The 25,261-nt window shown below is 45.0% G+C and overlaps 1 protein-coding gene across 2 annotated transcripts in view, besides 5 other annotated features; it reads left to right on the plus strand.

Moving 5' to 3' along the window:
- Positions 4,907–5,737: an enhancer, noted in NCBI's record as "OCT4-NANOG-H3K27ac-H3K4me1 hESC enhancer chr7:29832406-29833236 (GRCh37/hg19 assembly coordinates)". NCBI's record gives its function as "activates a minimal SCP1, AML or CMV promoter by ChIP-STARR-seq in primed H9 embryonic stem cells {active_cell/tissue: H9 hESC(primed)}" and the evidence as "EXISTENCE:reporter gene assay evidence [ECO:0000049][PMID:30033119]".
- Positions 4,907–6,567: a biological region, named in NCBI's record as "hESC enhancers GRCh37_chr7:29832406-29833236 and GRCh37_chr7:29833237-29834066". NCBI's record gives its function as "regulatory_interactions: WIPF3".
- Positions 5,638–6,050: a transcriptional cis regulatory region, noted in NCBI's record as "candidate enhancer chr7.1421 targeted for multiplex CRISPR interference". NCBI's record gives its function as "positively regulates WIPF3 gene expression with high confidence in K562 cells {active_cell/tissue: K562}" and the evidence as "EXISTENCE:mutant phenotype evidence [ECO:0000015][PMID:30612741]".
- Positions 5,738–6,567: an enhancer, noted in NCBI's record as "OCT4-NANOG-H3K4me1 hESC enhancer chr7:29833237-29834066 (GRCh37/hg19 assembly coordinates)". NCBI's record gives its function as "activates a minimal SCP1, AML or CMV promoter by ChIP-STARR-seq in naive and primed H9 embryonic stem cells {active_cell/tissue: H9 hESC(naive and primed)}" and the evidence as "EXISTENCE:reporter gene assay evidence [ECO:0000049][PMID:30033119]".
- Positions 18,361–19,270: an enhancer, noted in NCBI's record as "H3K27ac hESC enhancer chr7:29845860-29846769 (GRCh37/hg19 assembly coordinates)". NCBI's record gives its function as "activates a minimal SCP1, AML or CMV promoter by ChIP-STARR-seq in primed H9 embryonic stem cells {active_cell/tissue: H9 hESC(primed)}" and the evidence as "EXISTENCE:reporter gene assay evidence [ECO:0000049][PMID:30033119]".
- WIPF3 (WAS/WASL interacting protein family member 3) overlaps positions 18,625–25,261 on the plus strand; it is a 110,554-nt gene continuing 103,917 nt past the window's right edge. For both annotated transcript variants that reach the window (NM_001080529.3, NM_001391973.1), the window contains exon 1: positions 18,625–18,795. The gene's annotated coding sequence lies outside the window, so the exon portion shown is untranslated. The remainder of the gene's footprint in view (positions 18,796–25,261) is intronic.

Here is a 25,261-nt window from a genome sequence, read left to right on the forward strand (position 1 = left end):
CAGCATGGGCTTCTAAAACCTATAAACTCTCCTTACAATTCCCCCATTTTACCTGTCCAAAAACTGGACAAGTCTTACAGATTAGTTCAGAATCTGCGCCTTATCAACAAAATTGTTTCACCTATCCATCCTGTGGTGCCCAACCCGTACACTCTTTTGTCCTCAATACCTTCCTCCACAACTCACTATTCCGTTCTCGATCTTAAAGATGCTTTTTTCACTATTCCCCTGCACCCCTCGTCCCAGCCTCTCTTTGCTTTCACTTAGACTGACCCTGACACCCATTAGGCTCAGCAAATTACCTGGGCTGTACTGCTGCAAGGCTTCATAGACAGCCCCCATTACTTCAGTCAAGCCCAAATTTCATCCTCATCTGTTACCTATCTCGGCATAATTATCATAAAAACACGTGCTCTCCCTGCTGATCGTGTCCGATTAATCTCCCAAACCTCAATCCCTTACAAAACAACAGCTCCTTTCCTTCCTAGCCATGGTTAGTGCAGTCAGAATTCTTACACAAGAGCCAGGACCGCACCCTGTAACCTTTCTGTCCAAACAAACTGACCTTACTGTTTTAGCCTAGCCCTCATGTCTGCAGGCAGTGGCTGCCACTGCTTTAATACTTTTAGAGGCCCTAAAAATCACAAACTATGCTCAACTCACTCTCTACAGCTCTCATAATTTCCAAAATCTGTTTTCTTACTCACACCTGACACATATACTTTCTGCTCCCTGGCTCCTTCAGCTGTACTCACTCTTCGTTAAGTCCCACAATTACCATTGTTCCTGGCCCAGACTTCAATCCAGCCTCCCACATTATTCCAAATACCACACCTGACCCTCATGGCTGCATCTCTCTGATCCACCTGACGTTCCCCCCATTTCCCCATATTTCCTTCTTTCCTGTTCCTCACCCTGATCATGCTTGATTTATTGATGGCAGTTCCAAGGCCTAATCGCCACACACCAGCAAAGGCAGGCTATGCTATAGTACAAGCCACTAGCCCGCCTCTTAGAACCTCTCATTTCCTTTCCATCGTGGAAATCTATCCTCAAGGAAATAACTTCTCAGTGTTCCATCTGCTATTCTACTACTTCTCAGGGATTATTCAGGCCCCCTCCCTTCCCTACACATCAAGCTTGAAGATTTGCCCCCACCCAGGACTGGCAAATTAGCTTCACTCAACATGCCCCGAGTCAGATAACTAAAATACCTCTTAGTCTAAGTAGACACTTTCACTAGATAAGTAGAGGCCTTTCCTACAGCGTCTGAGAAGGCCACCGCAGTCATTTCTTCCCTTCTGTCAGACATAATTCTTCAGTTTAGCCTTCCCACCTCTATACGTCTGATAACAGACCAGCCTTTACTAGTCAAATCACCCAAGCAGTTTCTCAGGCTCTTGGTATTCAGTGGAACCTTCATATCCCTTATCATCCTCAATCTTCAGGAAAGGTAGAACGGACTAATGGTCTTTTAAAGGTACACCTCACCAAGCTCAGCCTCCAACTTAAAAAGGATTGGACAGTACTTTTACCTCTTGCTCTTCTCAGAATTAGAGCCTGTCCTCGAGATGCTACAGGGTACAGTCGATTTGAACTTTTATATGGACGCACTTTCTTGCTTGGCCCCAACCTCATCCCAGACACCAGCCCTCTAGGCGACTATCTTCCAGTCCTCCAGCAGGCTAGACAGGCTGCTAATCTTCTCTTGCCTACTCCAGATCCCCAGCCACATGAAGACACCCTAGCTGGACGATCAGTTCTTGTTAAGAATCTGACCCCTCAAACTCTACAACCTCGATGGACCGGACCCCACTTCATCATCTATAGTACCCCGACTGCCGTCTGCCTGCAGGATCCTCCCCACTAGGTTCACCATTCCAGAATAAAGCTGTGTCCGTAGGACAGCCAGCCTAATCCCTCCTCTTCCTCCTGGAAGTTGCAAGTACTCTCCCCTACTTCCCTTAAACTCACTCGTATTTCTGAAGAACAGTAATAACCCTTATGAGCCTAATACATCCCTTCATTCTATTAGGTCTGCTCGTCCTTACCTTACTTTTTGCAGCAGGACTTTACCAAGTCACCCCCACCACTTAGGCCGAGTCCCAAAAAACTAGTCATCCCTACTATCTTCTGTCTGGTCATACTCCTATTCTCCATTCTCAACTACTTATAAATGCCCTACTCTTGTTTACACCACTGGTTTACACTGTTTCTTCAAGCCATCACAGCTGATATCTCTTGGTGCTATCCCCAAACTGCCACTCTTAACTCCCTCTTAGAGTGGATAGATGATCTTTGCTGGCAAGGCACCCTCCAATACTTCCACCCTGATGAAGTTCTATTCTTTATTTTATACTCACTCTTATTCTCATTCCCATTCTTATGCCACCCTCTACCTCTCCCCAGCTATCTCCACCACACTATCAACCTTACCCATTCTCTCCTAGCCGCTTCTAATACCTCCTTAGTGAACAACTGCTGGCTTTGCATTTCCCTTTCTTCCAGTGCCTACACAGCTGTCCCCGCCTTACAGGCAGACTGGGCAACATCTCCCATCTCCCTACACCTCCGAACTTCCTTTAACAGCCCTCACCTTTACCCTCCTGAAGAACTCATTTACTTTCTAGACAGGTCCAGCAAGACTTCCCCAGACATTTCACATCAGCAAGCTGCTGCCCTCCTTCGCACTTATTTAAAAAACCTTTCTCCTTATATTAACTCTACTCCCCCCATATTCAGACCTCTCACAACACAAACTACTATTCCTGTGGCCACTCCTTTATGTATCTCTCGGCAAAGACCCACTGGAATTCCCCTAGGTAACCTTTTACCTTCTCAATGTTCATTTACTCCTCATCTCCGAAGCCCAACTACACACATCACTGAAACAATTGGAGCCTTCCCGCTCCATGTTACAGACAAGCCCTCTATCAATACTGACAAACTTAAAAACATTAGCAGTAATTATTGCTTAGGAAGACACTTACCCTGTATTTCACTCCATCCTTGGCTACCTTCCCCTTGCTCATCAGACTCTCCTCCCAGGCCCTCTTCTTGTTTACTTATACCCAGCCCCGAAAATAACAGTGAAAGATTGCTCGTAGATACTCAACGTTTTCTCATACACCATGAAAATCGAACCTCCCCCTCTAAGCAGTTACCCCAATCAGTCCTCATTACAACCTCTGACAGCTGCCGCCCTAGCTGGATCCCTAGGACTCTAGGTACAAGACACCCCTTTCAGCTCTCCTTCTCATCTTTTTACTTTACATCTCCAGTTTTGCCTCGCACAAGGTCTCTTCTTCCTCTGTGGATCCTCTACCTACATGTGTCTACCTGCTAATTGGACAGGCACATGCACAGTAGTCTTCCTTACCCCCAAAATTCAATTTGCAAATAGGACCAAAGAGCTCCCTGTTCCCCTCATGACACCCACACGACAAAGAAGAGTTGTTCCACTAATTCCCTTGATGGTCGGTTTAGGACTTTCTGCCTCCACTATTGCTCTCGGTACTGGAATAGCAGGCATTTCAACCTCTGTTATGACCTTCTGTAGCCTGTCTAATGACTTCTGCTAGCATCACAGACATAACACAAACTTTATCAGTCCTCCAGGCCCAAGTTGACTCTTAAGCTGCAGTTGTCCTCCAAAACCGCCGAGGCCTTGACTTACTCACTGCTGAAAAAGGAGGACTCTGCATATTCTTAAATGAAGAGTGTTGTTTCTACCTAAATCAATCTGGCTTGGTGTATGACAACATAAAAAAACTCAAGGATAGAGCCCAAAAACTTGCCAACCAAGCAAGTAATTATGCTGAACCCCCTTAGGCACTCTCTAATTGGATGTCCTAGGTCCTCCCAATTCTTAGTCCTTTAATACCCATTTTCCTCCTTCTTTTATTCGGACCTTGTATCTTCCGTTTAGTTTCTCAATTCATCCAAAACTGTATGCAGGCCATCACCAATCATTCCATATGACAAATGTTTCTTCTAACATCACCAATCATTCTATATGACAAATGTTTCTTCTAACATCCCCACAATATCACCCCTTACCACAAGACCTCCCTTCAGCTTAATCTCTCCCACTCTAGGTTCCCACGCTGCCCCTAATCCTGCTTGAAGCAGCCCTGAGAAACATCGCCCATTCTCTCTCCATACCACCCCCCAAAAATTTTCGCCGCCCCAACACTTCAACACTATTTTGTTTTATTTTTCTTATTAATAAAAGAAGGTAGGAATGTCAGGCCTCTGAGCCCAAGCCAAGCCATTGCATCCCCTGTGACTTGCACGTATACATCCAGATGGCCTGAAGTAACTGAAGATCCACAAAAGAAGTAAAAATAGCCTTAACTGATGACATTCCACCATTGTGATTTGTTTCCGCCCCACCCTAACTGATCAATGTACTTTGTAATTCTCCCCACCCTTGAGAATGTACTTTGTGAGATCCAGCCCTGCCCGCAAAACATTGCTCTTAACTTCACCGCCTATCCCAAAACCTATAAGAACTAATGATAATCTACCACCCTTTGCTGACTCTTTTTTCGGACTCAGCCCACCTGCACCCAGGTGAAATAAACAGCCATGTTGCTCACACAAAGCCTGTTTGGTGGTCTCTTCACACGGACGCGCATGAAAGTTGCCTCAGCAGAAGAGGAAGGGGGAAACCGAAGCAAGGAAATTCTGTTTTTCATATAAGAATTTTAGCACTATGGTTAAAATAGGTGCATTATCTTTGATATTTTAAAAATCAGTTTTTAAATGGTGGCTGATCCCTGTAATCCCAATAATTTAGGAGGCCAAGGCTGGAGGATGGCTTGAGCCCAGGAGTTTTGAGACCAGCCTGGGCTATGTAGTCCACTAAAGGAATATATTGTCTCTACCAAAAAAATATTTTAAATTAGCCAGACATGGTGAGCCTGTAGTCCCAGCTAATCGGAAAGCTGAGGTAGGAGGATTGCTCGAGCCCAGGAGGTCAAGGCTGTAGTGAGCCGTGATCTCACCACTGCACTCCAGCCCGGGTGAGAGTGAGACTCTGTCTCAAAAATAAAAAATAAAAAATACATTTTTGAAAAATGAAAACAATCCTGTCATTCCTTCACTAAATTATCCAAACTACTTCAGTGGCATCTTTCATTGGAATTAGAGAAATAAAACAGTAGAAGAAATAAATTAATAGATTGATCTGGATTAATCTTATCTTTATCTGTGATTCAATAACTCTATCAACTAGTCCTGTGAATTCTAGAAATCAAGGTTTCTGTGCTCAAGGTATATATATCTCAATCTCAGCACCTATAAGAAATGACATTTTATCTTAGGAAGGCAGCAGGTACCACACACACGCACGCACACACACACACATAGTATTTCTGTCCATGTTTCACTGATTCAATTTGAAGACTTTAGAACAAAAGATCCACTGGAATGGTTTACCAAGCACCAGACTGCTAAATTCCTGGGTCCTTAGAAATCTAGTTTAACTGTTGATTTAAAAAAAAAAATTAACGCAAAATGCATTAATGAGATAAATTGTAGAGGGAAGGAATCTGTCAAACTGAATCAAGGAAAGAGACAGCTAACAAATATTTCTCCCAAGATAAGTATTATTTGAAAACTCCTTGTGTAAGTTTGTCACTAGGAAATCCAGCTACTCAAAAAAGCATTTTACTGGGCTGACAAAGACAGGACAGCATGTATGCACTGTTATTTTACATGTGTCAATGTACCCAGGTGTTCCCTTTCATTCTTTCTCTGAAAGAGGAGTTGATTGAGGAGCCCTAAGAAGCTTCTGTCTCCTTTAGATAGCAACTGAAAGGCAGTTAATGGGCCTTTAAAGTGTAGATAACAGAGGTGAGAAAAACAAGAGCTACATCAAGCCTTCCTCCTACATTCCACTGCTCAGCTGGGGTTCAGTGCTGTCCCTCAGTCAAGAGAAAGAGCAGGACGAATTCAATTCTGCTATAACTGAGCTGCGTGCCCATCCCCTCTTTGCTTCCTTGTGATTTGACCTCTAGTGAAATGTCATTTTATTTTACAGATGCAGACTTTCCATTCACAAGTGGGTGTAGCCCTCAATCTGACAACAAATAAACACTAGATTTTGAAATCAAGGTGCCCTCAAAAGTAATGTCACTCCCAGGTCGAACCATCAAAGGAGGAGTGAACCATAAAACAAACCTTCAGCTTCCTGGGTCCCTTCACTCTTTCCACTGAACTGTGTAATGACAAGGAAACTTGCTCATGATATGATGTTAAGTGAAAAAAGCAGAACATGGGTGTATACATATGTCATATAGATGGGTCTGTGTTCATGTGTTTCAGAGAAATGCATTTAAGTATTATCTGTGGTTATTTGTGCTGTAGAAGAATTGTGAGTGATTCGTAATTTTATTCTTGGTAATTTTCTGTATTTTCCAAATTATCTCAACAGGGAACCAAGGACAATATATTCCTTTAGCATTAAAAGCAAAATAAAAGGAACCTTGAATAAAACTTTTTTCTGTTTTCTATTTAAATCAAAAGAAGGAAAGGGGGCTTGTTACTGGAGTTGCCACAGTGCAATTGTTTGCCCACACCTGGAAGAACCCACCAAGTTCTGGTCTCAGAGATAGTGTGGCTAAGAGCAGAGGCCAGAAAGTAAGATTAATTGTTATTGTAAGAATGAAGTGAACTGACACAAGTAAAGTGCTTAGAGCAGTGCCTATAGGCACTGGTAAGCACAGGTAGAAAATGTTTAATAAATATTAGCTATTATTATTATTACTCTGAGATGGTAGCTTCCCCCTTTTACCAGAAAGCGGTCCCAATCCAGACCCCAAGGGAGGGTTCTTGGGTCTCAGGCAAGAAAGAAATTAGGGCAAGTCCACAGAGTAAAGTGAAAGCAAGTTTATTAAGAAAGTAAAGGAATAAAGAATGGCTACTCCATAGACAGAGCAGCCCCAAGGGCTGCTGGTTGCCCATTTTTATGGTTATTTCTTGATTATATGCTAAACAATGGGTGGATTATTCATGCTTCCCCTTTTTAGACCATATAGGGTAATTTCCTGACATTGCCATGGCATTCGTAAACTGTCATGGCACTGGTGGGAGTGTAGCAGTGAGGACAACCAGAGTTTACTCTCGTCGCCATCTTGGTTCTGGTGGGTTTGGGCCAGCTCTATGGCCTGTATCTTGTGCCAACCTCCTATCTCATCCTGTGACTTAGAATGCCTAACTATCTGGGAATGCAGCCCAGTAGGTCTCAGCCTTACTTTAACCAGCTCCTATTCAAGATGGAGTTGCTCTGGTTCAAACGCCTCTGGCACCCCCACCCCTCCAGTTCCTTTCCTCTCCAAGACAATGAGCAGTTCTTTATGGTCCTTAAGGAACTTGCAAGTATATTTTCTGCCCGTTTACATCTTCTATATTATAATGCAGATTTTGGCTTTGTGGAGATATATGGGAGTTGCACACTAAAATTATATGCATTTTTTTTTTCTGAGCTGGATCACATGCCCTTTGGTAAAATAATCTGGCTGGTGTTTCATTCGTCAGCAAGCTTTTCCAGGCTCATGCCTTCCCCCATTTTCACTAAGTGCTTCCTGACTATTTCTCTTGAATAGCCAAGAAGAAGGATTAATACGTTAAGCTGATTAAGGTGTACTTTGATTTATGATCATCTCTTTTCAAGTGTTTTCAAGACCCAGTCTTTTATTCTTACTAAGCTATAGAAAACTGGTAGGCAATGCCATCAGACAAGCATGCTATTCTTTTTTTTCTACATGACACAATGTCTTTCTTCAACCTTTCTGTGGTCAAGAAATGCCAGCATTGAAAAATAAAAAGAAATAATCTCTTTAATGACAGGGAAACATGGCTATCTTGTATTTGAACTTGTTACCCTCTAGATGTGGGTGGAAGATGAGTCTCTCTTTTTTGAGAATTGACTGACCAAGGCCTGGCTATGTCACCTGGTTGACTAGATACAGAAGTCATCACTATTCCTCGTTGCCAGTAAGTGGCAATTTATCACCATGTCACATGCCATGTCGTGTTATCCTAATGTGCAGAACTCCAGGACTTTTGAGAACAATCTATCCTTGATCATCCCTGTAAACAATGTGACTCTATTTAGGGAGTATGAGCACAGATAGCCCAAAATGGCAAAAAATTTTAAAGCATGTCTACTTGGCCTTGAACTACTTTTTGTTTTCATATTTGAAATGTCTGTGATGATTGTTCAGAAGTTTGCCCCACTATTTAAAAAAAAAAAAAAAAAAAAAGCAAAGCTACAAAGAGAGCCAAGTCAGGATTGCTCAAAAACTGTTTGCTTTCTTATTCTATCATTCTGTTCTAAAGGGCTCTGTGACTTCACACCATGAGGTTGAAGCTAGAGTCCTTTCTCACCAAGAGAGAAGTAAAGCATCCACTTTTGTTGACTTATCACCACTAAGCTGTAGTCTTTCTGGTGCAGAATTTTCCCTGGACAGGCAAGAAAAAGAGGATTAGATACTCTGTCATTAACTTATTCATCAATTCAAGATTTATTGAGTGCTGACTTATTATGTGAAGCCTATTTTGTTCAGTGCTGGTGGTACTGGGACAATGGCACCATTTCTGCCCTTAAGGATATAGACAAATAGACAGTTACAATGTCATGCTCTAAGTGCTTAAGAACAAAGGGGATGAGGATGTTAAATATTGAGAAATGGAGCCCTGGTCTTCCTTGAGGGTTCAGAAAGCTTTCTCAGAATAGGTGAGTGTTGATACTGAAGGATAAGATGTTCACCGGGAAATAAGGAGGGAAAAGGTATACCAGGACAAGAAGTGGCTTTGAGGAAGGCAGAGTCAGGTGAATGTGAGGGGCTCCGAGCCCTCTGGGACAGCAGCAGCACAGTGTGGTTGTGGGGTGGCAGAGTCAGAAGATGAGATGAAGCCAATCTTGGGGGTCTTTGTAGATGATACTAAGTTACTTAGGCTTTATCTTAAGCTCAAAAGAGAGTGGTTGAGGAACTCTAAGCAGGTGAGTTAGATGATTAAAATTTTGCTTTAGAAAGATTATTATGGCTTCAGGGTGGAGAAGAGTTAGGAGGAGGGAACACAGCATTGGAGCCCATAACATCATGTTGCAGATGACAGCAATAGACCAGGCCTGAGCTAAAGCAGTGGCTCCAGGGGCCAACAGGGAAAGGTGTCTGGGAGGCAGAAGGTCAATGGTTTTGTGATGGATTAGATGGTGGTGGTAGAAATCAAGGAGAAGACTAGGATGACCCAGGTTCCTCACTTGAGAGAATCAGTGAGTGTCAGTGCTATTACCACAAACAAGCCAGAAAGAGAACAGAATCCTCTAAAAAGAGCTTCCATTAGGACAGGATAGCTCTTACCAGGATGGAGGGTGCAGGGGGCACGACTAAGCTGAAATGTTCATGAGTCATTTGTCCAGTCACACATTCAATAAAGGTGCCTTGCAACAAGCCCTGTGCTGGCAGTGAGATGACCATCCTGTGGCATGGTGGCAAGACAGTAGGATTCATCTCCATTCACAGCTCTGCTCCTCACCAGCCCTGGGACTGTTGTCAGCCCATTCACTTCTAAGCCCCCATTTCATCATCTCAAATAGAGTGACTGAGGCCTCCACTTGTGATGATGATCGTTATGACAATGGAGGGGAAAGCCCTTAGAAAACTGTCAATTACTGTAAACCAAATGGCCATTTCCACCACGAAGCTGAGAGCAGAGTTTGCCTTGTGAATAATGGACCATACTGGCAAAGAAGAGACAAGAGAAGACTGGTGAAGAAAAGCAATCTTAGCAGTGCAACAGGCTTGGAGAGAAGTAGGGAGTGGCCTCAGGAGGCGCACCACCCCTTGTTCCTACATTGCAGTGACAGTCCTTTGTATTCACAGTGTGCAAAAAGGTGGCCCTTGTGTAGACAAAGGGAAGTACTCCGAAATAACAGGCTGGAGGTTGCAAGGTGAGAATAGTTGGCAGTTACAGTCCTTATTTTAAATAATAATTATTTTTCAGTAGGTGTTTTTGGAGTGCAGATTAATTAAAAATACGATACGGTAAAACAGGTAGTTTCTTTTATTTCTGTGGCCCTTCATAGTAAAATGCAGTGTTTGCACTTTAAAGAATTTCATAGAATTCACCTCTAGGTATTCTGATAGTGATTTTGAGGCACAGCAGAAATGACTGCACCTGCCTTGCACCTCAAACAACTAAGATTTAAGGATCTAACAAACTACTGAAAGATGAAAATCACACAGCCAGTTGGCAATGTGGATATAGACAAACCAGCTTGGATCTATGTCTTTTGTCTCCAAGATCCAGGCTTTCTATACTACTTTATGTTATTTACTTGGAAGGATCAAAGGTCTTAAAAATATTGTAAAATATTCTTTAGCAAAGCTCTTCTCAGTTTCTCAAAGAACAGGTTTAAGAAGGAATTTCAGAGAATGCCTTGCTCCATTTACAATTCTCTTGCTTTCCTAAATCTTGAAACTTTTTTCTGTCTTGGATCTTTTTTTCTTACCCTACAACATGTTAGAGTCTCGACTTTCTCTAGATTCTTGCTCCTCTTCTAGACATGGCCCTGTCTCTCTGTTTCTCTTCTAGGTCAAGGTTTTTGAAAAATACACTCGAAGTGTGGTTTCTACTTCCTCAGGTACTTCCCATATCTCAGCCCAGTAAGATCAGCCTTCTGAGTGGCCTACTGCACTGACCTTGCAAATACCAAGGTCACTGATGACTTCCCTTTGTCACGTGTTTTGGCCGCTGAATGTGACTTCCGTGTAGCATGACACTACCAGCCATGTCTTCTCTCCCCTTGGTTTCTGTGTCCTCACTCTCCTGGGCTCTTTCCTCTCTCTCTTGCCCCTCTCTCCCACCTGCCCTGTGGATTGTTTCCTCTTTCTCTGCCTGTTCAGTAAAGCCCTGTATTCTCCACACGCCTTGACTATCCTCTCTTCTCACTCCAAAAAATGAAGAAAGTAGATCTCAGCCTTTTGTGTTTGCAACACATTTTGGAGCAGGAGAAATTTTGGAGGCAGCCTGATGGGATTAAAATGCATCCACAGCTATATTGAACTATCGCCACCCTGGTTGCCTTTTGGCACAGTGTGGGTGTTTGAATAGAACTTCCTGCTCTCTTTTATGTACTCTTCTTGTGAAGTCAAGTTTCTCAACCCAGGAATCTGCACGGCCCTGGCCTGATGTTAAGTGATGGAGTGCCATGCCTCTTAACTTTTCCTCATGGCAAGATGGAGCTTCCTCTCTGCACAGAGACTTGCACAGAAGGCTCAGGGCTACATTTGAGCTGACAGACATGCCCACCCTCAGTTGTAGTGCATGAAGGAATAGCTTTTACAGAGGGTGGGAAACACTGCCCCAGCCTCTCACACCCCTCTAAGGCTTTATCTTTTAGAATTATTGTGGTAAAATATACATAACATAAAATTTATTTATGTATTTATTTTTGAGACAAGGTCTTGCTCTGTCACCCAGCCTGGAGTGCAGTGGTGTGATCTCAGCTCACTGCAACCTCCACTTTCCAGGCTCAAACAATCCTCCCACCTCAGCCTTCAAAGCACTTGGGACTACAGGCATGCTGCTATACACACTTGTATCACACTTGGCTAATCAAAAAAAAAAAATTTGTAGAGACAAGATCTCACTATATTGTCCAGGCTGGTCTCAAACTCCCAGGCTCAAGCAATCCTGCTGCCTTGGCCTCCCAAAGTGCTGGGATTAACAGGCGTTAGCTGCCACGCCCAGCCTAACTATTATTTTTTGAAAGATGAAGTCTTGCTCTGTTGCCCGAGCTGGAGTACAGCTGTGCCGTCATAGCTCACTGCAGCCTCAAATGCCTCCGTTCAAACGATCCTTCCACCTCAGTCTCCTGAGTAGCTGGGACTGCAGGCACACGCCACTATGCCTGACTAATTTTCTTTTGTAGAGAATGGGTCTCGGTATGTTGCCCAGGCTGGTCTTGAACCCCTGGCCTCAAGAAATCTTCCTTCTTTGGTCTCCTCAGGTGCTTGGATTACAGACATGAGCCACAGCACCTGGTCTCAAATTTAATCTTTAAACCATGTTTAACTGTACAGTTCAGTGGCATTGCATACATTCACAACTTTGTGCAAATATAGCCATTACCTAGTTCCAGAACATTCTTATCCCCCTCAATAGAAATCCTGTAGCCATTAAGCAATCCCTCCCCACTTTTCTTTCCCCAACCCCTGGCAACCACCAATCTGCTTTCTGTCTCTATGAATTTCCCTATTCTGTATATTTCATATACATAGAATTACATAATATGTGGTCTTTTGTGTCTGTTTCTTTCAGTTAGCATATTTTCAAGGTTCATCCATGCTGTGGCATGTATCAGTACTTCATTTTTTTCATTGCTGAATAATATTCCATTGTATGGATATATCCCATTTTGTTTATCCAGTCACCTGTTGATGGAAATTTGGATTGTGTTCATCTTTTGGCTATTACGAGTAGTGTTACTATGAACATTCATATACAAGTTTTTATTTAAATTCCTGTGTTCAAATCTTTTGGGTACATGCCTAGGAGTGGAATTTCTGGGTCCTATGGAAGTTCTATGTTTAACTTTTTGAGGAACTGCCAAACTATTTTCCACAGCAGCTGTACCATTTTATATTCTCCCCAGTAATGTATGAGGATTCCAACTTCTCCACATTCTTGCCAACACTTTCAAAAATTATGGCCATCTTAGTGGGTGTGAAGTAGTATCTCAGTGTGGTTCTAAGGTTTTATCTTTGTTTTAAATGTTAATGATTCTTAAAACTATATTCCTAAGTATTTACCATGGAGAAATAAAAGCATTTATCTGCAAAAGGACTTGTACACAAATATTCAAAGCACCTTCATTTGTAATATCAAAAAAAACTAGAAACAAACTAAGTGTCCACCAAAAGGTAAATGGATTAAACAAATACTGGCATATCCATACAATGAAATACCAATCAGCAGTAAAAAGGAATAAACTACATATAACACATAACTCATGGGTGAATCACATAGGCTGAGTGAAAGAAGTCAGGACAAAATAGTTCTTCATGTATGATTCTAGTACACAAAGCTCCAGAAAAGACAAAACTAATCCACAGTAATAGCTCCGTGGTTGTGATACTGACAGGAGGCAGGGAGGTACTGGATAAAAGAGGGCAGTTCCCCAGCAAAGGCCCCACCCTCAAGCCTGGAAACCTGCGGCCCTAAATGGGAATAGACATTCCTGGTTTTGTGCCCAAATGTTGCCTTCTGGCCTGCCACATCATTCTATCCTGTACCCATATAAACCCCAAACCCCATGAGCAAAAGAGCAGAGGAGCAAAAGAGCGGCAGAGCAGAGCAGCAAAGGAGATAAGAGGAGGGTCTGACCATCGAGAGGAGTTCAGCTGGGGACGGTCGGAGAGGAGATCGGCTGCAGGACGGCCAAACTCCATGGTTGATCATCTTCACACTCCATTCCCTTTCCAGCTCCATCCATCCCACCAAGAGCCACTCCCATCCAGCAATAAAATCCCCCACATTTACTGTCCCTCAATTTGTCCATGTGACCTGATTCTTCCTGGATGCTGGGCAAAAACCTGGGTACCAAGAGGGTACTGAGCTGGTTAACACTTAGGCCATCTGCAGACAGCAGAGCTAAAAGAGCACTGTAATATGCCCACTGGGGCTTTAGGAGTCACAGGCATCCACCCCTAGATGCTACTATGGGCCCAGAGCCCAAAAGCACTTGCCCTGGCTCCTGCACCTGCCCATCTGCTCCCCATCCCATAAGAAGTTTGAGTGTGCAGTGGCCAAACAAATGAGCCACACCCCTGCCTCACATCCCACAAGGGGGTCAGGGAGCTCTCTCATTTCAGTTGCATGGGGCTGGGCATAGGGACTGACTGCAAAGGGGGATAAGATAACTTTCTTGGAGATGGAATAGTCTATACCTTGATAAAGGTGGTGGTTATATCAGAGTAAACATTTGTCAGCATTCATTAAACTGTTCACTTAAAAGGAGTGCGTTTTATTGTATGACATTATCCCTTAGTAAAGTTGATATAAACTTTTTTTGAGAAACGTTACAAACCCTCAGATATGTAGCTCCAGTCCCCAACCCTAATTTATTCATTTCTTTCAGAACTCAACAAATGTGTATTGAGTACCTACTATGTGCTAGCCTCTGTGCTGTGAGATAAGGATACAAAGGTGACAGAGATGGTTCCTGAGGTCATGAATACCACAGTCTAGCCTGGAGGACAAATGTTACATCATTAAACAGATATTGTCATCATACAACTGTAATAAATGCACAAAAGAAAGGTACATGAGGTTTTGAGAGCTTATAGAAGAGGGTGACCTAGCTGAGATTCAGATAAGTTGTGGCAAGGTTTAGTTGAGATCTGAAAGATGGAGAGGAGTTGACACTTGGGGTCTTCTTCACAAAGAGGGAAGAGCACATTCAAAAAGCCTGTGACACGAAGGAATATTGCTGTCAAAGGATCTGAAAGCAGGGCAACATGGCTGGAGGACAGAGATGGAGGGGAGGACTGAGAAAGGTGCGTTGGAGAGTGGGTCAGGCCAGGTCATGAGGGCCTTCAGACAAAGCTCGGGATCTTGGTTTTATCATCAGAGCAATGAGAATTCATTGAACTACAGATAATGTGAATTGATAAGATCAGCTTTGGGTTTCAAGACGCTCTCCCCGGCCACACTGGGGAGAATGCTTTAGAAGAGAGAAGTGGCATATGATTACAGAGGGAAAAGCTAACAGGTTCCTGGGAAAGTCCTGGAGAGAGGTGATGATGGGCTCTAGTCTCAGCTGGTGGTACAGATGGGCAAAATTGGACAGATTCAACAGGCTCAACCTCAAGGAGGGTTGATGGGGGAAAAGTAGCTTTACAAAATTTCTGGGTGGTCCAACTAGATGGCGGGGGGTGGGGGGCATTGGGGGATGGGCAACAGAGTGGGTCAGGTTTGGAAGGAAGACCTGAAGTGTGGTTCCAGACCTGTAGCATTTGAGGCTCCTAAACCACCAAGCTCTTTCAGACTTTCTTTTCCCTGAAATGCCCTCCCTTCCCCACTTTCTGACAGGAGAAACTCCATTCATTAATGGATGCCCAACTCAGGTCTTGCAGGCTCCCTCCTTTTCTACAGATAGTTCATCATTTCTTCTCCTGTATCAGCTCTCTCTACAGCACAAGCTCCTCTCCTACCCAAAATTGCAATATTCTCTTCACAAGCTGTGTTCTCTACTAAGCTGTTGGCTTCCTGGGGGGCAGGGCTGTGAATTCATCTTTGCACCCCTAGCACCAGTGCAGTATCACCAGAAAATAGCTGATCTGTACATATTTGAGAGATTGAAGTGAGCACATGTGTACAAAACACTTAATATTTCTGGAGTGCCTTTCTCCTGAAGAGCTCAAGAAGTTACAGAACAGATATAAATATATGTTTGCAAGTGGAAGGTGTGAAAGGTGAGCTATTGCAGACACTTGGTGAGTGAAGAGAAGAAAAGAGGAGGTTTTTGCTCTTTACCAGGTCATAGTATAAGTTAGGAATACATTTGGCTGCAAAATTAGAAAACGAATTCTCAGAGGCTGAAACAAACATGGGTTATTTTTCTCACATAGGATATAGTCCATCCAGAGGTGGACAGTTGCACACTTTGGCTCAAGTGCGCAGTGATACCACACTGACTCTATTTCCCAGTGTGTTGTCCCAATTATATTGACCTTTTGGCCTCACAGTCTTTGGCTCTTGATTGCAATCTGGTTGTAGCATTACTAGGCATTTCATTTGCATTCAAATCATAAAGAAAGTGGGAAATGGGCTGGGCGCGGTGGCTCACGCCTATAATCCCAACACTTTGGGAAGCCAAGGTGGGCAGATCACCTGAGGTCAGGAGTTCGAGACCAGCCTGGCCAACATGGTGAAACCCCGCCTCTACTAAAAATACAAAAATTACCTGGGCATGGTGGCAAGCGCCTGTAATCCCAGCTACTCAGGAGGCTGAGGCAGGAGAATCTCTTGAACCCCGTAGGCGGAGGTTGCAGCGGGCCAAGATGGTGCCATTGTACTCCAGCCTGGGCAGCAAGAGCAAAACTCTGTCTAAAAAAAAAAAAAGAAAAAAGAAAAGAGGGAAAAGGAAAGACAGAACCAGAAAAAATTTTTCAGAGGCTCCCCCACCAGACCCTTCTTTCAACTCATTGGCTAGAACTGGGTCAATGACTTCCTTAGCTGTAAGAAAGACTGGGAAATCAGGAAGGGGATTGTCATGGTCGTCTTGGATCAATCATAATCCTGGGTTCTGTCACTAAGGAAGAAGTGGAGAATAGACTGATAATTGGGAAGACAATTCACAGTGTCTGCCACTGAACAAGTACCATCTACTAGGAAGAGCTAGTGCCTTCTTGAAGTCAATTTGTCTTAGTGGAGCTAGGTGGAAATGAATCCCTCCCTAATGTCCGTAGGAACAAGATGCTAATGGTATTGTTACTTCACATGGATAGAAAACACTGATCACCTGAATGGAATGCCTCTTGAAGCTTTCAGCCCCAAATGTCCAAATTGATTCCTCACTCACCACCTCCCCATCCCTACAACCAGGCATTTTAAAAAACAAATTCTTTGATCCAATCCAGCATCTCTTGAGATAAATAACAGGCTTTCCATCCAACTGGCTCATGCTTGGGCTGCTCAGGAGATCTGATGGGAACTCTCTAGGCCCATGGCAATGTCTTCTCTAATAGTTTGACTTTTCTTCCTTTTTGAATTAGAATACTAGTGGTTATGTATTTAGTGAGCTTTAGCACTGGAGGTCCAGAGAAGGAGAGTGGCTGGGTCATGTTTTGGGGTTTTGGGTTTTGTTTTTGTTTTAGTAACAATCACCCATGTAAGAGGGCTTATGAATTTTATGTTGGAGAACTGTTCTTCAGGTTCCATACCTGTGGTCATCTATTATGATTCTAAAGGAGGAAAGGGCAAGAGGAACTCAGGACAAACAGGTGGAAAGCAAGTGCCTCATCAGCTTCCACTCACTACACATAGACCTTTCGTCACCTAAATCAAAAGAGAAAACCATGTTCTTGACGACACTGGAGTGAAAGACATCAAAAGTGTATTATTAATCCTTGCTTTCGACACATTGCCCAGCTACAAACATGAGTAATTAAGAGATCAGCTAAGGGCTGCTTGGGGAACATACTTTGACAGCAGCCACTACAGAACTTGAACCTGAATACAGGCTGCAATCCACGTGTGAGATCTTCCCTGCTGGCATTGGCTGCTCCCTCACCTGGGTCCCCAACATTTCACACAAGCCTCAGCACAGCGCTGAGCGCCAGGTTTCTCCTCTATTCCAGACCAGCAGCAACTTTAGAGTTAGACACCTTGCCCTGAGGCCCTGCAGAGTGTCTGGCTCATGGCAGATACTCAAACACCGAGGCTGAGTGAACAGTCCACGAGTACCCGCTTAGCTCCTCCACTAGCAGGAATGCCCAGGACATGGGCAATACAGAATCCTCACCCAATGATCTCAGCACCTACAGCAATGCATTCAGCCTCGGACACAAACTTTCTGCATCCTCCAAGGGCCTGAACAAGAAATGTGACAGAAGCAAGGTTTTCCGTTCTTCAAGCTTATTTCAGGTTTGTTTTTGTTTGTTTCTTTGTTTGGTTTGGTTTGGTTTTTTGAGACAGGGTCTCACTCTATCGCCCAGGCTGGAGTGCAGTGGTTCATTGCAACTTTTGCCTCCTGGGTTCAAGAGATCCTTCCACCTCAGCCTCCCGAGTAGCTAGGACTAGAGAGCGCCACCACACCCGGCTAACTTTTGTATTTTTTGGTAGAGACAGGGCTTCACCATGTTGGCCAGGCTAGTAACTCCTGACCTCAAGTGATCCGTCCACCTCGGCCTCCCAAAGTCCTTGGATTCCAGGCTTGAGCCACCGCGCCCGGCCCTATTTCAGTTTTCAGTCTGCTTTCTCCTCCCTTCGACTCTACCTGGGACATCAATCTACCTCCCCAGGCTACCCGGATAATTCTCTCATCACCTGGCTAATTCACACTCAGTCTTCAGTTTTTCTCGTCGACGTCAGCTCCTCAAGAAGCCCTCCCTGACCTACTCCCCACCCCAAGTTTAGATCAGGTGCTCCCTCTGGGAGCCGGCTCAGGAGGCCTCTGCCTCCTCTTGGTTGTGCTGTAATCGCCCATTGGTCGCTTTCCTTTTCTAGACTGTGAACTCCACGAGGGCAAGAGGTAATCTTGTTCTCTCGTCCCCATCGCTTATGACACCGCCTGGAGCTTAGTAAGGGCTCAACATTTTGGAATAAATTCAAGGAGTGGCGTGTCCCCAGAGTAGCTGTGCTGGGCCGTGTGCCGCCCGCGCAACAGCTCCTATTTGGGGAATTCCAGCCTTAGGCCTCAGTCTCTCCGCAGCTGAGACTTGGGACTCTGTACCCGGGAGGCGCGCCCGCCGACTTGGGACCCGCCTCCAGGGTCCCAGAGCGACCCCGCCCGCCGGGGCCGTGTCCCTGCCGCGGGGCGGCGGCGGCTCCCAGGCAGGAGCCTGCGAGCAGGTGGGGGCGGCGGCCCCGCCTCCGCGTCCCGGCAGCACCAGAGCCGGTGGCCGGGGAGCGAGCCGGGCGCACCGAGCGCAGCTCGGCGGTAGCGGCGCCGCTTGGAGCACGGGCGCTGCGGGACGGAGCCCGGAGCCGGAGGCGGCGGCGGCGGAGACGTCGGCCGGAGCTCGAGTCCAGTCCAGCCCCCGGCTCCGCCACCTGCAGGTAGCGGCTTCCCGCGCGGGTGCGGGTCGGTGCCCGAGGGTGGAAGGAACGGGCGGTGTGGCGGCCGCCGCCCTGGTCGGTCCCGGAGCAGAGTGGCCCGGCCCGGGACAGAGATCCTGAGGGCGTGGGAGGGCCGGGGAACCCCCGCCGGGCTGCAGCCCCGGGCCCAGGAGGTTGTCGACGTGCCGCGCGGCGCTCACGCCCCCCACCCGCACCCTGCCACGCCGCCCCGGCCGGGCCGGGCCGGGCCGGGCGGAAACAAACCGCGGGGTGGGGAGCGAGGTCACCACGGGGTTGCTTGGTGACTTCTCCGGACTGGACTCCCCGGTGAGCAGCCCCTGGCACCGAGGCCGCCTCGGCCTGGTCCTTCGCGACGCTCTCTCTTCTCCGCTTCGCCCCCGGAACAAAAGGCTGGGGTCTCGCTGGGGAGGGGGCTGTCGCGGGAAGGGCTGGGGCGGAGTAAAAGAGAGCTAGGAAATTGCAGAGCCGGAGGTGGCTTGGGGAATACAGAAGGAGCCCCCTAGTGAGGAAGCCAACTCCAGAGATGTGAAGTGACTTGTCCAAGGTCACACAGCTCATGGGGACAGAGCGCAGGTCTCTGGACACCCCTCCCGTGCTCATCTCCAAGCCCCTGGGGTCAGTAGTCAGACTGTGCTCCAGCAATGTACATTTGGCCACAAATGGGTTTAGGGTCCTTTGGAGGATTAGGTGGTGGGTAGGTAGGTGGCAGAGCAGATTTCCCCCAGCCCCTGACACGCACTCTCTGAAGGTGGCGGGGAGGGCGGGCACCCGGCCGCCCTGGACCTGGAGGAGCGCCGCCCGGGCCCCGTGGGCAGGCAGGCACCGGCTCTCAGGAACAGCGCCTTTGGAGGGTGGCGTGCCAGCCGCGTGGGTGTGCCCGTGGCGGGCGCCGGGGCGGCGTGGGGACCGTGTGTGCGCCTCCCTCTGGAAAGAAGTTTCTGCAGGGAAAGGCCAGGAGAGCGGTTCCATGCGCCCTGGGACAGTGTGGCCAATCCCTGACACTCAGGGCGCTTTGTAACTGGCTGTATTGGGGAGGAAAGTTACTCTGTAGCAGGAAGTTAGGCTGTCTCTTCGCCTCTGTGCCTGGGGTCCTTGGCTGTAAATGAGGGCCTTGTTTGGCATGACCAGTGTGATTTAGAAGGTTTGTGCCCCTCCGCCTCCTCCTTTCCAGAATCTTTTCTCACTTCACAGGGAGGACTGGGAGTGCACTTCTTGTGCCCAGCATTAATAGTTATCACTGGGACTCCTGCCTCCCTTCAATTTTTTTTAACTTTATCATTACGAAAGAGGTCAGAGGAGAGGTTGTTTTTGGGCCTTGCAAGGAGATAAACTCCAGGTCAATACCTGGACAGGACATGAGGGAGGCTTCTGGGATGCTAGAAATGCTTCTCACCTTGACCTAAGAATTACTGAAGTTATACCCTTGAGACTTGTGCACTTAACGTAAATTCTACCTCAGTGAAAAAGTAAATAAAAATGTGATGCTAAAGTCCACTCATTGTGGTAACACACAGATTGCTGCAGTTTTCCAGCTAATGCATTTCAAAGATACATTTAAAAACCACAAAAACCAAATCAGAAAAGAAGTGGCGAGGAGGGGCAAAAGAAAGTTAAGAAGTAACTGGAAATGAAACATACACTGCAGATGCCTTTATGTGCATCACCTCCTGTGATTCGCAGCAATTCTTTAACAGAGATATTGTTATTGTGCCTTTTTTACAGATGAGAAAATAAAAGGTCACAGAGGTTAAATTACTTACTCAGGGTAACAGCCTGGGCACACAGACTTCAAATTCTAGACAGGCAACCTTCAACAGGCAATTTGTGGCCACCTGAATCGGGGCAGAGCGGTCAGGGTGACAGACACTTGTAGGCTGGCTTCCTGCCATTGCCCCCTTTTTGTTCCTTTAGGAGTCTCTGTTTTCACGTAATTGTGAGTGTGACATTGTGTCACAGATTGCAGTTACCCAGCAGCAGAAGGAATGGAGGAAGTGTGTGTGTGTGTGTGTGTGTGTGTGTGTGTGTCTAAGAACATACAGTTATAAGAACAGGGGAAAGCCAGCTGGTCTAGCCTGGCAACGCTCTTTTTAGGAGACTTATTGTTCAGAAACCATATAGTACAGGTTGCGAGTTTGCAGTCACTCCAACACATACACAAAGAATAAAGAATATAACCTAGGAAAGATCCGAGAAAACAAAATGTGATTAACAGTAGAGGGAAACATAGAATTTTCACCAGGATGGCAGTCAACTTTTTTACATTCTAGAATTTATAAATATGTTTATTAATGTTGAAGTTTTTAAAAAAGAAACCTACACAAATAACTCAGCAAAAGGAAGGAAATGTGTTTTCTAGCAAATGTGTTATAAATATTTAATATATATGAACTTTGGTGCAGAAATATTTGAAACATTAGGGTACAGTAGCCTTAAATCTACGGAGAAATCCTGAGAACTTTGTCCTGATGTGTGGTCTTCTAGTGATTTTATTTTTCTGCCTAATATTCCGAACTTAAAGAGGTAGAAACGTCTTTGTTTTACCACCAGTTTCAAGTTGCAGAGTTGAATGTTTGTCTTAGGAAGTTTTGGTGTAAAGAACGTGGGTTAAGGGGAGCAATTTAGAAATAGCTCTGGGTGAGTCCCCTCAGCCCAGTGCCATCGAGCATGGTTCTGCATCACAAAGTTATCTTTAGGCAAGTTTGCCTTGTCACAGTGGTGCTTCTGCCATCTGGCTGCTGGAATATTTAGAAAAGAATCGTAATGTTTGACTGACTTTGCCGACAGCATGACAAAACAAACTTCGAGGGGAACTATTAAATATGAGTTAGGGTTGGTGAGAAAGTGATTAATTGCTTTTTATTTAGCCACTGTACAAAACCGAAGAGGCATGCCTTTCCCCAGCCGATGCTGGGCAGGGGCAGCACACGTGTTTTCTCACTGGCTTCAGCCAGTAGGGCACTTGAAACTCCCCTTTTGCAATTCTAGCTGCGTCTTTCCTTAGACCTGTTCAAGAGGGAACCCGACCATTATGCAGCAGGGGAATTGTGTAGTGAACTGCGGTGTTCAAGTGCCAAGGAGGTAAACTAAAGCAGAGTAAACGTGACAAAAATGCCCAGCGGGCATTATGTGGGCCAGGCACTGTGGAGGAAGATTTTCAAGTGCATCTTGAAGGAATGTTCATCCTATGTGGGTGGTGTTTTCCAGCTAACACCGCATCTAGGATGGTGGCATCCAGGAGAGAGTGCCAGGCCTGCACATGGACTGTGAGAGTCAGCTCTTGGTTAGCTAGGAGGAGGCAGTAGCCAGTCTCAGTGCTTGAGTTTCTGAGGACGTGTGTCTGTGTGAGTGCACATGTGTGTCTGAGCAAGGTGCCCAGGTTGCCATCCACTGTTCCTTAAGAGCTAATGACTAGCTAGCCCTGCCCGGGGCTAGGCTAAGAGCTTTATATGTAGGACATCACTACAGCAGCCCTATAGGGAGCTGATTCTTCATACTCCTTTATCAAAGGGGAGACAGAAGCCGAAGGCTGACTTACTCTCAGAATGATCATGTTGCACCCTGCTGTGGTCTTTTATCAACCCACTCATAACCCCAAGGTGTCCCCAACCTACCTGACTCTCTCTTATTGCACCTGAGCTCCTGGAAGGCAGGAACTGTGTTCATCTCCATTCCCAGCATAGCACCTGCCCCATGCCTGGCAAGTGAGGGGTACTCCCTAAAGGTTGTTGAATGAATTAAAGGACTGTGTAAGTGGAGGAATCAGTAATTGTGTGAGTGAATGAATGAATGAATGAATGAATGAATGAATATCTGGAAGTATGTTCCAAGATCAAAAGACAATTATTTGTTGTGTTTTATCTGTTGTTTTAACTTTCACTGTCTCATTCCCTTTTGTTAATATGGCTCCATCAGGCATAACTGTATGGATGAGATTTCCAATAGTTATCTCCTTTAGGGCTCAGCCTATAAAATCAAAAAGCCTCTGCTTCTTTAAGAAATTATTTATTCTTTTGTATAACTTATGTAAGTCAGAATCCCTGGACTATTTTGCATGAATCTTACATGCATCATTTATTTGCTGTATGATCTTGGACAAATTACTTAACCTCTCTGTGTTTTGGTTTTCTCATCTAGAAAATGAGGATAATAATAGTATTTATCTCATGTTTAAGGCTAATAAGATAGATTTATTCTGTTTTTTTGTTTTTTGATAGGGTCTTGCTCTGTTGCCCAAGCTGGAGTGCAGTGGTTTGATCACAGCTCACTACTGCCTCCAACTCCCACACTCAAGTGATCCTCCCACCTCAGCCTCCTGAGGAATTGGAACTACAGGCACGTGCCACCATGCCCGGCTAATTTTTTTTTATTTTTTGTAGAGACAGGATCTGACTATACTGCCCAGGCTGGTCTCAAACTCCTGGATTTAAGCGATCCTCCTGCCTCAGCCTCCCAAAGTGCTGGGATTACAGACATGATCTGCCTTGCCCAGCCATAAGATAGATTTGGTACTTAGGACAGTGCCTCATTCATAGCAATGTTCAGTCAATTAGCCATTATGATGATGATGATGATGATGATGATGATGATGATGATCTGATGCTTTTAAAAATTGTTTGCCTTAAATGTTCCGTGTTCCATAAAGTGTTCAAGGAGTTTACAAAAATAGCAAACAACATAAAATTAATAGATAATGAAACTGAGGTAAAGGGAACACACGGGTTAGAAAGTGAGATAAAATCAGAGGTAATTTACAGAACCAGAATAGATCATAAGTTGTGGATAGTTTCCAGAGGTGGGAGTAAAAATTTGCCAGAGCTTCCCAGCAGCCAAAACAAAAAAGAAAACATAAATAGTTACCTGATCCACAGTGACCATGAGATAAAAACAGATTGGTTACACAGCTTTTCCTGGTCCTGAAACCTGGGATAACTTTCTCCTGGCAGGTGTTCAATGCACTCACTGTTGCCATAGAGACCTAAGTCTTCAACATCATCCCTGCCATAAAGACAATGGAAGTGCTGTGGTAGAAGGCAAAAGTAAGTGTTTCCTAGAACTTTATTGACTGCAGTTCCGGAGACATAATCCCACACAGCTCAGTAAAAGCTCTTTGCAGGGCCAAAATGCTGTGGTTCAGGGACATTCTGTATTCTTAGCTATGCTTACTGAGTGCCTGGAAGAGCCAGAGCCTTCCTTCCAAAGATTGTAATTCTTATGAGAGTCAGGTAGTGAACAGTCTCATCTTTAAGAACTTTGGCTCTGGCTGAAGCCATTTAAATGAGCCAAATCAGTTTACCTCATCCAGGAAAAGTCCAAAGGGTGTCATTGTGCACATGTGCTCATTAACAGATGATTATGTATTTATGAATTTTCTTAATACCAGCAGTCCATAATTTCCCTTTAGCTGAAAATTTTTATTACCTACTTGGAAAAAGAAAAATCCAGTGCTAGAAAGCATAAATATTTTATTTTTTAAACATTTTTTATTATTGAAATAATAGTGCTCATGTCTTTTAAGCTCCCCACTCCCGTATATATATCCAGATGTGAATTGTAGCAGCTGCCAAAGTAAACAAAACCAAACCAGTGCACACACCCAAATCTGGCTTACATGGATTTGTTTATTTGTCTTGTGGAATTAGACTCCTAAGAAAGGCAGTCTGGGGCCTGTGCAGGAGCTATCTGAGACCAGTATCCATCCATCTTCCTGCTTCACCACACTTAGCCTATAGGACTTCATCCTAAATCTGGTTGCCTCATGATGACGATATGGCTGCAGTATCTCTAGGCTTCCATCTGCAGTCTAGGCAAGAAGACAAGGAAGGTGCAAATAGATAAAGGAATTAATGTCCTTCTATTAGTGAGGTTTTACCTTTTTATTCAGGAAGTGATGCACTCCCTAGGACTTCCACCTGCATCTCATTGGCCAGAACAGTGTCACAGGGTTGTTCTAAATATATTAGAGTCTGATAAATCAAATATTTTTAGCTGGGTAAATTGCAACCCCATCACTCAAATTAGGGCTTCTGCTGTGAGGAAGAAGAGGGAATGGTTATTGAGTAGGCAGCTAGCAGTATCAGCCACCTGACTGACTTCCATTATTAGCCATGTGTCTGACTTAATTAGAAATTACAGAAGGTGACTCAGTAATTTTAAATGTTGTACTCTTCTAGATCTTCATGGAATTAGTGTTAGAGAATGAAATGCACCCAACTGCCTGTGTAAAGATTCCTAAATCGCTATTGTCAGCCTTGCTTCTTCTCTAAATTTCAGATCTGAATTTCCATTTGCCAAAAGCACCTCAAACTCAAAATGTTTCGAATTAAAATCTATTCTCTCTGCTCATTGACCACCGCTTCCCACTCTCTCCTCCGTCTCGTTTAACACTACATTGTCTTGACCACCAAGGACCCAAGGGGTCACCCCAGGCTCTTTCTTCTTCCCCATC

Source organism: Homo sapiens, chromosome 7 (genome assembly GCF_000001405.40).
Source record: "Homo sapiens chromosome 7, GRCh38.p14 Primary Assembly".
Classification (NCBI taxonomy): Eukaryota; Metazoa; Chordata; class Mammalia; order Primates; family Hominidae; genus Homo; species Homo sapiens.